The 13,031-nt window shown below is 47.0% G+C and overlaps 1 protein-coding gene across 1 annotated transcript in view; it reads left to right on the plus strand.

The window, feature by feature from the left end:
* The window catches only part of ARNT2 (aryl hydrocarbon receptor nuclear translocator 2), a 193,552-nt gene that overhangs the window by 91,724 nt on the left and 88,797 nt on the right, over window positions 1-13,031 (plus strand). The window contains exon 6 of the mRNA NM_014862.4: window positions 12,051-12,153. Coding sequence (NP_055677.3) covers window positions 12,051-12,153 — 103 coding nt within the window. The remainder of the gene's footprint in view (window positions 1-12,050; window positions 12,154-13,031) is intronic.

Here is a 13,031-nt window from a genome sequence, read left to right on the forward strand (position 1 = left end):
GGAGTCAGTTTATAGATTCTTGCTCTCTACCCAGTCTCTACACATTTGTGAGCTTCCACGCACCCTCTCTTGACAATATTATTTTGAAAAAAAAAAATCCATTGCACTGTGACTTATTCCCATGCCATGGAGTGGGACTGGGCTGTCTTCTATAGTGCATTCCTGTGTGAATTCACCACATGCCCAGCACCCTTCTCCCTGCTCCCAGCTTGAACTGTGAGCATCTTGTGTGAAATGGGAGAACTTGCTCAGCACTGGTCTGGGTAGGTAGAGTTTGACACAGCCTGTAACTCCAGCTGGTAAGGACGCTGCACTTGGTCACTGCTGTGAAACCATGTGTCCTTTCTTAAAAACCTTTTCCAGGCTCAAGTGCCATAAAGTTCTGAATTAGTAGTGGATAAATAAGTGGATAAATAGTTCTGAACTTGCCAGTGGGATACATGTAGCCTGCCATTCATTGCCTGTCACCAGCCTTTCCCTGCCTGGATAACCATATAGAACCAGGAAAGAGGAGACGTATTAGTTGATAAGTGGCCCAGGTTACTAGGGGAGGGCCTGTGTTTATAGCCTCCTAGTTGTTGAGAATATGTCAGGAGCTCAGCTTCTGGAAGTTGCTTAGGATTCCTACTGCCAAAGGAAAATGCTTTGTTAGGCTTGAGGGGTAGAATTACTTGTAGAGAAAAGCATTAGTTCTAAATCCTCAAGGATTCTTTGGAAAACAGGAAAAGAGAGATACATGGAGCATCCATAGGAGCCTGTAAGGAGTTGTAACTGGGCCACTGTGCAGTCATGACAGCTTAGCCTCCACAGTGGGTGGTTGTGATTCAGGACAGAGCTGTTGGACACCAGTGTATGTATGCGAGGCACCCTGGACTAGGGGACACAGAGATATTCAACCCCTGGCTAGCTGCTTTCACAACGTTTGTAATCCAGGAAGGGAGGCAAGCTATCTGCCTAAGTGTCGATAATGTTGGGGACCATGTGGGCAATATACTAAAAGGATCCCTAAGGTTTCCATCCTCTGGTTATTCAATCAAACACTAATCTAAGTATGGCTGCAAAGGGATTTTGCCTATGTAGTTAAAGTCCCAAGTCAGTTGATCATCAAATACAGAGATTATCCAGTAGGCATGACCCAAACAAGTAAGCCATTTAAAAGGAGAAAATTGTATCTGGCTCATGACAGATGGGGAAGTCAGAAAGATTTGAAGCACAAAAAGGATTTGATAGGCCATGACCATTGCTGGCTTTGAAGTTGGAGGGGCCATGAGCCAAGATCTGTGAGCAGCCTCCTAACATGGCCCCTGGCCAACAGCCAGCAAGGGCATGGGCACCTGACCTGACAACTGCAAGGATCTGCCAACAACTGGAATGATCTCAGAGGTGGATTCTTCTGCAGGGCCTCTAAGTAATAGCCCAGCCCAGACAACACCTCGATCTTGTCCTTATGAGGCCCTCAGCAGAGAACCTGGTCAATTGTGAGGTAATAAATGGGTGCTGTTTTAAGCTGCTGAGTTGCTACATGGCCATGGAAACTAATATAGATACCATTCTGTTGAGGGCAGTAGCATTCCCTGTGCTGCAGGAGAGCTGAGAAGCTCGCAGCCCATCATGACCATTAAATAGATTTGAAATGGTAGAGCAGTGTTGGATATAGATTTGAAATGGTAGAGCAGTGTTGCAGAGGAGATAATTATAAGTATATTCTTCCTGAGGAAAACACTTTACTCAGCAAGTGAGGAAGAAAGGCCTTCTCTCTGGAGCAAGAATTTAAGGGAGAAGGGGGAAGGGAAGGACTTTCTAATACACTTCGTGTTGTGATTCCACTTTCGTGTTAGTCTCCAAGTGTTTGCAAGAAGCTGAACATCTGCATGTGGCTCCAACTGTGTTCCTAGTGTCGTGGTGGCCCTGGTGAAGTTCAGGCCAGAACAGAATGAGGTACAGCCAGCTGCACCATCGGGGGCCCTCAGAAAGCTTTTCTTTGGAAGAATGGAGCTTTCTGACTCTACCTGAGGGTTAACTCCCTGTTACTAAACTGGAACAAGTTCTACCCTGAGTGACCAGCCATCTCCAGTTGCACTCCCTCCTTCCTGCCTGGAAGCACCGATGGCACACGATTTTTTTCTGAGGGGCTGTTGGATCATTGCCCCCTACCCCTAAAGACAAAATGTAGACCTATCTAGGAGGAGAGAGGAGCTTAAGTGACTGGCAGAAGGGCTACGTGGCCTTAAATGTAACTGTTTCTCAACCTCCTTGGTGTGGGATTCATCTCTCACTCATGACTCTCTCTTTGCTACCACTTTAAAAACAGTGACCATATTGTATATATAGGTGATGGTCCAAATCCACGCACTAGGAGAGTGAAAAGAGGCTGTATTAATGACCGTCCTAGGACAATAGGCAAAAGCTAGGCTGTCCCAGCCAAAGCTGGAAAGTGTGGTCACTACAACCGTGCCTGCCATTAGGGGACCTGTACCTCCTATAACTCCACCAAATATGGATGCAAACCCATTCCCCCGAGTCTCCCAGGAATGGCTGAGAGAGGCTGGAATGATCCAAAGTTCTCTACTAAACCAAAAGGAAAAATTGAAGAGGAATAAAGACATACACAGAAAAGAACTACACAAAAATAAAAATAAAAAGGCAGATGTTCCCAGTCTGGGTTTCTGATCCTGAAACAGCCACAAGCTGGCCACAGTCCCTGCAGATGGCTGACCTCCTGCCCCCTCACTGCCCATCTGCTTCTGTTCGGTGGGTGCCGTCTTATTTTCTGCTTTGGGGAGTGGTCTCCAGACTTCCCAGAGCAGTTGTACTGTGAAAAGTAGTACAGGCTCTGCAGTAAGTCAGGCTGCCCTCTTCAAATCCTGACTCCGCAGTTCTCAGCTGTGAGACAACCGTAACTGGTTACTTAGTGTCTCTGGGCTTCAGTTTCTTTGTGGGACAAATACAGCCTGGCAGGGGCTATAGAGGAGGGGGCATTGCCCACCATGCAGGCAGTAGGAGCTGCATTGTCCACAGGGTATTTAAAAACAATAATAGAACCTACTAAAAGTTAATCTGCTTTTTATTATCATCATGTCCCAGCAATTCTTGGCATATCAATGATCAAATATTTCTCCCCTCTGAAATGAACTGCCCCTAAGGCCCTTCTCCCCGCTGCATCTTGGTGTGCAACCACTGTGACCCACTTCCTAGGGCTGTGTAGATAAAATACTGTAACACATGTAAAACGTTTCAGAATACCTAGCCCTTAGTAGAGTCCTCAGTGAGTAAAGAGTTAATTCCCTTGTCCTTCCTCTTCTGTCAAAGGCCACAGAACATTGTATTAGCCTGAACTATTTGGTTGCAGGTGACAGAACCAAGTGTTAAAGACTTGAACACTGGGAGAAACTTTTCACTGTTTTATGTTTTTACTACTTTCTTGGAGTCAGTTTTGTTCTCCTAGACCCCATTGTCCTTGAAGCTGAATCACTGCTGTTGAAAGAGCCATGCTCAGATTCTCAAAGAGAAAAGAGGGGGAAAGGTGGCAAAGGTCACATTTTGCCTATGGAGGACTCTGATTGGCCTGGTTGGATTCTATCCTAGTCTTGGGACCAATCACTATAGACAAGAGGGTGGGTGAGTTACTATGATTGGCCCAGGGTGTGTCAGGTGCTCAGTCCTCAACCAATCACTATGGCGAGGGAGATGGGATCTTGTAAGAAGATGGCAGCTCTTTTTTTGACTTTCATAATGAAGGATTAGTATGAGAGCTATTTCTCAAGAAAGCATTGTGGTAGAGGAGGTAATGGGTAAATAGAGTAAGAGATGTCTTATGCAACTCTACTGCCCATTCAGAGCTCCCTCTTCTCGTTTGGGAAGAAAATGGTTTGGCTGCAACCGGTGAATTGATGTGTTTGTGCCCTCAGCCACTTATAAACACCTGCCAGAGAGAATGAAGTCTAAGGAAAATGCACCCACCTTTAGTAGTAGAAGGCCCATTCTCTCCCAGGTTCACTGACACAGCTCCAGGCTCCAAAGTTTGTTCAGGAGCAGGCCTCAGGCACACTGGTTGGATCCCTGTCCTATGGCCTGGTGTTTTTTCCTGTGTGCACAGCTGCTGTAATAACTGGGGTCAACCTTTTGAGAATAAGAACACACTGTCACTGGAACAGTGACCAAAGCATCCTCCAGTTCTGGGCCCCCATTTCAGGGGGACACATTTTTGGAACCACATCAAATATTGTCCTTCATGGGGCCATCGTTTTGCTTTGTTTTTGTTCCTAATTATTTTCTCTTGTTTTCTTCCTTTGCCATCTCACTGTTCCTCCTTTTTGAACCAAGATAAGATGTTTCCAGTTTTCTTAAGGATTCTTTTGATGAAATAATTCTAATTTATATTTGTATTTCTCTTGTAGCCTGGGGAGAATTTTTATGTGCACAAAGCCTTCTTTTGTGATCTTATCCAAGACAAACTTCAGATTCTTCTTTTTAAAAAGTTACTACCGACCAAAATAATACTTACAAATCAGCTTACTGCAAACAATTACAGAAGGGCCCTCTGCCCATCAAAAAAGATGCTCTTTTCTGGAATCTTTATATCTTCTGAAGCAGGAGTCAGAGAATGCATTTTTGTGAAGGGACACACAGTAAATATTTAGGATTTGTGGGCCATGTTGTGTTTGTTACAACCACCCAGCTCTGCCATGGTGTATGAAAGTAGCCATAGGCAATAAATAAATGAGTGGGTGTGGCTGTTTTCCAATAAAACTTTATTTACAAAAACAAGTGGTGGACTAGATTTGGGCTGCAGGAAGTACTTTGTTGACTCATGTTATAAAGCATGTTATGCTTTTCAACTGTCTTAGAAAAATTACAGTAAAAAACTTTGAGGTAAGGTGGTCATAATTCTTATTCTCATTTCATGGAGTAGAAAAACTGAGAATCAGTAAAGGTATTGACAGCATAGTTCCCTGTGAGCTTTAGAGGCAGAGTAGGGTTTGATATTAACAGCCTTAAAAATATTCTCCTTATTTGATGCAGGAATGCCATATTTGGAAATCCATCCTAAGATGGTTTGGATTTTTGTTTGTATGTACATGTTCACCCCAGCACCCTTGGCCATAGGAAAAACCTGGAAACAAAGTAAAAGTCTAATAGTAAATTACCTACTCAAAATAATATTAAAAGAGCCTTTAAAATGAGGTTTGTGATGAAATTCTTGAGTTTATGCTAAGTGACATGAAGTAGAAAAATATACACCATGAGGCCTCAGCTAATTAAAATAAAGAACAGGCATGCATAGAAAAAGACTGACCAGAAACGCACCTAAATGTGAACAGTATTCTTCTCTGGAGAAGGTTATCTGGGATTTTCACTTAAAGTGTTCGTGTGCGTGACTTTTCTAAAACGACCATGTTAGTTTTAGAATGAAAATTAAGGAGAAAAACAAGAATAGCAAGTTATTCAATCTTGTAGCCTGAGGCCTTGCTCTGTGCATTATTCCAGAGTGGTCTGAATGCCGTCTCTCCCTCCAGCAGCCAGGAGGCAGGGGCTAACTCCCGGTCTCAGGAGACCCTCCCTGCCTGCGGCTCTCTGTGCCGGGAGCCTGCCAGTCACTTGTACTCTGATTCTCTAAGGGGGTTTGTTGAGCTTTAGTGTGTAGGTCTTGAAATCTGTACATAACCCTTCAAAGTAGGAATGCCTGATTCCATTTTCCAGTTGAAGAAACTGAGGATCCGAGAAATGAAGTGACCTGAACAAACTCTCACAACCCGCATATGGAGGAGCCATGTCTTACATCCTTGCTGCCTTTTTCATTTGAAATAGCGTAATTACTAATTTATCAGCTCACTAATGGGTCTCCTTTGTACATCAAACCCAGAACAATATCTGCTTCCACAGCTTCTGGTTGTGTTGGAAGATTTCTGGGGCCTCTTACAAAGCCAGCCATTGTGCAACTTGAGCCCAAGTGCTCTAACAACTGGGTCCCTGAGCCACAGGGAAGCTCATAGCTCTGTACCAAAAGCAGGATGCTGATAGGACATCAAGAATTCTGACATTAGATTCTCCCTGAATTCAAAGAATGGGGAAGGTGAGAGGACCAGAGTGAGAAAACTAATTGTGGTCCTGGGGGCTGTTTGATTGTACCATTTCAGATGGAGCAGTTATAGATGCCCGCAAGTTCCCAGATGTGGCAGTGGGCATGGCTGGCTGCCCCGGACAGGAGGAAAGCGTGCTCAGAATTGAGGAGGACACGTCCTGAGAGGGAGATGTTAGGTGGGCCTTCCACATGGGTGCTGAAACCATGTAGGGTGATAGCAGGTCTTGGGGTAAAGAGAAAGGCTGTGGGTGCTGTGCTGAAAGTCTAAAATGCAGGAGGAGGAGAGACCCAGAGGTGGGAAGACAACAGAAACAAAGGAGGGGTAGTAGGTGGACGAGGTGGATGACATGAGTCTGGAAGGAGCGTGTCATGCAGGAGTCGGGTTTTGAAGGGCTTCGGGGACTGAGGAAGACAGCAAGACTACCTTTGACCCCATGCCATGTGGGACATGGGAGCATGAGCCTTCTCTCCAGAGGGCATGCTCCAGAGGGCAGGCTGGTTTCTACTGAGGCAGGGAGTTGAGTTGAGTTCAGGGAGTGTCTATAAGGAGGCTGAGTATACAGGAGCTGTCTTACTTCCAAGTGGGTATTCTGGAGGGCACCCAGGGGGTTGGAGATTAGGAGGGAAAGGAGCAGGGGGCTTGGATCAAGGGTGAAGAGTACACATAGGAGAGGTGACCAGGGTGGCCGGTTGTTTAGGCACTGACTAAGGAAAACAGAATGGGAGGCATCATGGGACCAGCCCAGAGACAGGATTACAAAAGAACCAGAGTCCTTCAGACCCAGTGGATGAGGCTGGGGAGCAGGGATTCTAGAAGGAGCCAGCCTTGGCTGGATGGATTGTGCCTCTAGGGATCTGCTGGGAGTCAGCCCGAGGAATCCAGGCCCATGGCTCTAAGCAGAACCCAGGCTTCTGTGGGTCAGGAATGAAGATTAGATTAGGAGCAGTGTAACTGGCAGTAACATCTCTGTTTGCCTCTCTACTGGGAGCCGGTAGTAAGCAAACCCAGCACCCAGGTCTCCTGTGGGATGGAGACTGACTGCCATTCCATGACACTGGGATTCACAACCCAGTGCTGGGGCGATGGCCACTTGATTTTGTACATCTCAACTGCTATTACATTTGTCAAAAATCCAATTTACACACAACCTTGCAGGAACACACCTACTCTATGAAGTCAGGCATGCTTTCAGAGGAGCCTGAAGAGCGGCTTCATTGTGTCCAAGGAAACCGGAGAAGCACACAGAGAAATAAACGTTGAAGCTGTTGTCTCTCAAGGTCATGACAACAGATCATGGAAGTGTGTTTTTTCATTTCCTCATGTTCCACTGCTCATGTGCTACGCAGCTGGGATTTATTTTCAGAGCACACTTTGGAATCTGCCAGACCCTCATGCTGGCCTGCTTCACAGCTGAAACCATTTGCCATTTGGTAGATGATAAAGCAAGTGACAATTTACACTAACATGGCCGTAAAAAGATGCCGTCTGTGAAGGAGACAGACAGGTGTCAAACCTGGGGCAGCAGACAGCGCAGAATCAGCAGACGCCCAGGACCTCCCCTGCACAGGCTGCGCCAGAGCTCTCAGCACACTGAGTCAAACCATTCCACTGAATAGAATTCTGGTCTACACATCCTGCTTAAAGATGTACGTACCAGTAGTCAGCATGGTGGTGATTGCTGGGTCTTTGTAGAGCGCCATGCAGTCTGCAGAGCCCTGGTCCATGTGAGAAGGGAAGGCTGCAAGTGTTGAGGGGAGCAAGCTGACCAGGCACAGTCCTAGACCATGTGTGCAGGATAGTTCTAGCACAGCGTGACAGAGCCGGCCCAAGGAGAGCACAATATGCTGCAGAGTGCAGCGAGGAAGGTGACCATCCTCTCTTGCATGTATTTTCACTCCCCCACACCTTCCTCCATTTGGAGCAGTGGGACGCAGGCTTGGGGAGGGTGACTTCTTCAAGGCCCTTTTGATTTCAAATGATAGAAACCCTTATGAAACGCTGTCTGCTGCAAAGCCGCAGCTCTCCAATCCCTTTCTCACTCTTCCTGGCTTTATTGTTCTTAGCTGTTGTCTCAGTGTAACAATCTGTTCTGTTTGAGTCTATTCTCATCGACTTTAGTCTGTTCTCTTCTTTGTTGTTGTTGTCCGCTCTCTCATCCTCTAGGATATAATGGCCTTTGCCTGTTTAATTCTTTGTGCTTACATTAGTGTCTCTCACATATTGTCCGGGCTAAATGAATATTTGTGAAGTGATGGCTGAGGTGACACCTTGGGTAAGTTGTGATAAAAAGTAGAAGTCAGCTAAGCACAGTGGCTCACGCCTGTAGTCCCAGCACTTTGGAGGCCGAGGCAAGAAGAATGCTTCAGCCCAGGAGTTCAAGACCTGACTGGGCAACATAGTGAGTCCTTGTCTCTACAAAAAATAAAAAAACAAGCTGGGCATGGGGGCACACGTCTGTAGTCCCAGCTACTTGGGAGGCTGAGGTGGGAGGATTGCTTGAGCCTCAGAGGTCAAGGCTGCAGTGAGCTAAGACTCCACCACTGCACTCCAGCCTGGGCTACAGAGTGAGACCCTGTCTCAAAGAAAAAAAAAAAAATGGAAATCAGGCAAAGGGAAGGGGATTGCTCAGGGAGGGGAAGTGGCTGGGAAGGGCCAGGGATGAGAGAGTGGCACACTGGGGAGCTGTGAGTCCTTCCGGGCAGCAGCAGGGGCCTGCGTGGAGTGGTGGGATGGCATAGGGTGAGGAGGGAGTATGAGAGGAGGGCAGGGGCCGGACTTTGGAGGCCTTTTATACTGGTCTGCGGGACTTGGATTTTCCTGACAACTAAGAGTGGAGAACATGAAAGGTTCTCAAGGAGGAGTGTGACGCGATCATTTGATCTAAGCCTGCCAGGAAACACATTTGTCGCTTGCCTCCTGTGTGCGAATCACTTTTATGTATGTTGTATCACAATAATCCTGAAAGCAAGATCTTGCTCTTTCATTTTTTGCAATAGAGAAAACCATGGACCAGCGAGTCTGAGTGACTGGCGTCACATAAATGGTAGAGCCATAATCGTTTTTGTGTTTTAAGTGAAGAATTCTGGTAGCAGTACAGAGGCTGGAATGAAGGGGACAAGACCAGAGGAAGTGATGACTGCCCTTTTTCAGCCATCCATCCAGAAATGCAGTGAGGGGGACAGATGTAAGGTGGTAGCACTTCAGAGGCAGGAAGTGCACAGGCCAAAGATACACAGGAAGTAGAATTGATGGAATATTGGTGACTGATCAGATGTTGGAGTTTTTCATATTCATTATTTAATAAGCATTTATAGAGCCAAGCATAATTGTAGTCACTTTGTAATATTAATTCATTTAATGCACACAAAAACTATCTAAAGGAAGTACTATTATTATCTTCATTTTTACCAATGAGGTAGCTGAAGCACAGAGGTGTTAGGTAACTTGCCCAGGGTCACACAGTGAGTGAAGGAGGCAGGACTTAAAGCTAGGTAGTCCAGCTCCAGAGTCTATGCTCTTACCTACTAAATTTCTAGTTTGAGCAACTGGGTAGTGGTGGTGCCAATGACAAAGATAGGGGACTGTGGAGAAAGGGCAGCTTTGGACAGGAAGAAGAATTTGCTTTTGGACCTGAGGAATGTGAGATGTCAGTGAGATGCCCAAGAGACAGTTGTACATGTAAGAGCTTCCAAGAGAGGTCTGGCTGTGTTAAAGAAAAAATGATTCCCAACATTTGTTGTTTTTTTTTTTTTTTTTTTTGAGACGGAGTCTTGCTCTGTCGCCCAGGCCGTACTGCGGACCGCAGTGGCGCAATCTCGGCTCACTGAAAGCTCCGCTTCCCGGGTTCATGCCATTCTCCTGCCTCAGCCTCCCGAGTAGCTGGGACTACAGGTGCCCGCCACCGCGCCTGGCTAATTTTTTGTATTTTTAGTAGAGACGGGGTTTCACCTTGTTAGCCAGGATGGTCTCGATCTCCTGACCTCATGATCCACCCGCCTCGGCCTCCCAAAGTGCTGGGATTACAGGCGTGAGCCACCGCGCCCGGCCCCAACATTTGTTAAAAACTATAAAGAAGATTCCATTCAAGGGATGCCATGTCAAGAGGTGCAGGCACCACTGCACTGTGGTCTTGCATGCTAGGAGAGAGTGGACCCAATTCCAACAAGGATAAGTGAGGGTTTAGAAGCAAGAAGCAAGAATCAAGGTGGCAGCAGGAGGCAGTGGGTGGAGAATGACTAAAAGGAAACATCAGAGGTTGGGGGATTCCGGTTAGACTCAATCATCAGAATCCTTGCTGAGGACAGTGCAGGGTGGTAGATATCAAGGGTGTCAGATACCGAGGGTGGGGGATTCTCACCAAACTAAGTTAGGATGCTTGCTCAAATTGGGTTCTGCAAGGACAGAGAGGGAAGCTCAAGGTTAGGCCTAGACAGGCAGAGGACTCACAGGAGGCCGATTGAGTTTCGGTCAAAGGAAGGAGGCTTTATCAGCTGGAGATGGACATCTTGATGTCCTCAGTATGTAAGAGGTGGTGAAGTGGAAAGTCGCCAAGGGTCCCTGGGAGAGAGTGAGAGAGAGAAGGGCCAAGGCCCAGCCCTGAGAATGCCAACATGGGGTGGGGAGGAGCTGGACTGAGGAAGAGGGGCTGCCCCAAGGATAGGCTGGAGAAGGTGGTGTCCCAAGGCAAGAATGTTCCAAGGGACTGGCCAAGGATAAGGACAAGGTGGAGAGGGGCTGAAGAGTGTGTATCAAATTGGGCCACATAGAGAGCCCTTGTGGCCTGGGCTGGAGCAGCTGCCATGGAGCTGTAGTGGGTGGAGGCCCAATACAGTGGGTACAGTGGGCTGGACACCAAAAGGGGGCAGTGAGTGTGGACAGAACCCTCCAACCACAGATGCAGAGAGAGGATAAGAGCTTCAAGGCCAGAGAAGATCTTTTGCTTGTTTGTTTTCCCCTAAGATGGAAGAGATTTGATGGTGTTTAAATACTGGAGGAAGTAGACAGTAGGGAGGGGAGAGGGTAGAAATAGCCACGTGGGAGGAGGTCAGTTGATGGCCCAGAACCCCGTGGGGGGTGGGAGCAGAAATGCACTGAGGTTCACTGCTTCTTCCTCTGAGGTAAGAGCAAGGTGGGGGATGGATGCAGAAAAGTGGGAGGGACAGAGATGTGTGTGCAGGCGGTGAGGGAGAGGAGGGACTCGGGGATAATGTCTGGTTTCTGACTTAGATTTCCATGCAGATGGCAGTGCCCTTGCTGATGTTTAGGGAGGGTTTGGGGAAGAGTGGGTGAAGCTGCTTTTGCGGTGCATGGTCAGCTGCTGATGGTGTGGCCCTGGGGCTAAGGAAATGAAGAGGTTGATGCTAGAGGTGTAGATATAGTACGGTCATTGGCATCCAGAGGTGACTGTCAAAACCTGGGTGTGGATAAAATTGCATAGGGAACATGTACAGTGAGAAGAGAAGAAGGCTGAGGTTGGAGCCTCCAGGGAGAAAGGAGCAGAGAGGAGAGAGGAATCGGGAGCGCTCTGTCCGAAGCCAGGGGAGGGCAGATGCTTGAGAAGGGAGCAGTGCGCGGTCGCATAAAGCCCAGCAAAGCAGTTGGATCAAACAAAGGAAAAACGTGTTTTAGATTTAGCAGTAAGGAAGTTGGTGACCTTGGTAAATGCCTTTTCCATGGAGTGGTGAGGGAGAGAGCCAAATTGGAGTGACTGCAGGCGACGGAATCCAGCAAAGCAGAGACAGCAAGTGTAGACGGCTCTGAAGAAACAAAGCATTTTGAACTGTATGGATTTCATCACTATGTGAGTTTCTTGCCAAAGAATGTTGGGAATTCCAAGACACAAACAATTTGCACAGCCACACTTGTCCTCATTTGGCAGAGCATTTGGAGAAAGCACTCCCCGAACTCCCTCCTCCATCTCCCAACCGAAGGCAGAGGCTTACGTAACTGTCCTTCTCTCTCTCTTAGGCCGGATCTTGGACCTGAAGACTGGGACGGTCAAGAAAGAAGGGCAGCAGTCATCCATGAGGATGTGCATGGGCTCGCGGCGGTCTTTCATCTGCAGGATGAGGTCTGTTTTGGGGGAGCAGCAGGCCATCAGGTGGTTGGTTTGCTCCTTTTTCTGTCACCGTTAAGAGCCTTGACCAGCTCTGCCGCAGTCACACATGCCAACGTGGGTTCACTCCAGGGACTTCGTCTTCTTGACCTCAGCATGCAGATATACAGGATCCTTGGTTTAGGAAGGATTCTCTCTATCCTCCTACCATCCCACTTTGTCTAATTTCCTACCATTTTCTTCTCATTCCTAGATTTACACCCTCTTGTCCACTGTATCACTCTACTTCCTACCCATCTTTAAGACCCTTCTCCAATCCAACCTCTCCAAGATTCTGTAGTTCTCAACATGTTTTATATTAAGATGCCTGATTTCACACTTATTCATATATTTCCTGTCACAATTCACACATTTACTTGGTCTCTATGATATTGTTGATTGATATGTTAAATGTAAATGTCTGGGTTCCATGAGTAAATTATAGTGCCTTGAGGATGAAGGCTTTGATTGAGACTTCTCTGAGCCTCCCTGACATCTAGCAGAGTCTTCTACATATATTTGATTTGTACATCATAATTGAAGAAATGCAGGAATGAATGAACTTTGGAGAAAGCAGGGGAATTTTGCCATGTCGTTGAAGAAGAGAGAGCTGGGATCTTGAATCCTCCAGTCCAGTTCAGCACCTCTGTACCTTCAACCCTGTGCCCCCTGAGGGATGGTTGACATGAACTGCAAGGTGGGAGGTGCAGGACAGAGAATTGAGATTGTTTGGGCTGTGGAGTTCATGAGGCAGTGATGTGAGGTGATGCCACTCATCATTCATTTATTTAGTTATTCAACACATTTATGTTAAGGGCCTACCTGTGCCACGTGCTCTTCAAGGTGCCCGGGAG

This window comes from Homo sapiens, chromosome 15, assembly GCF_000001405.40.
Source record: "Homo sapiens chromosome 15, GRCh38.p14 Primary Assembly".
Taxonomy (NCBI): domain Eukaryota; kingdom Metazoa; phylum Chordata; class Mammalia; order Primates; family Hominidae; genus Homo; species Homo sapiens.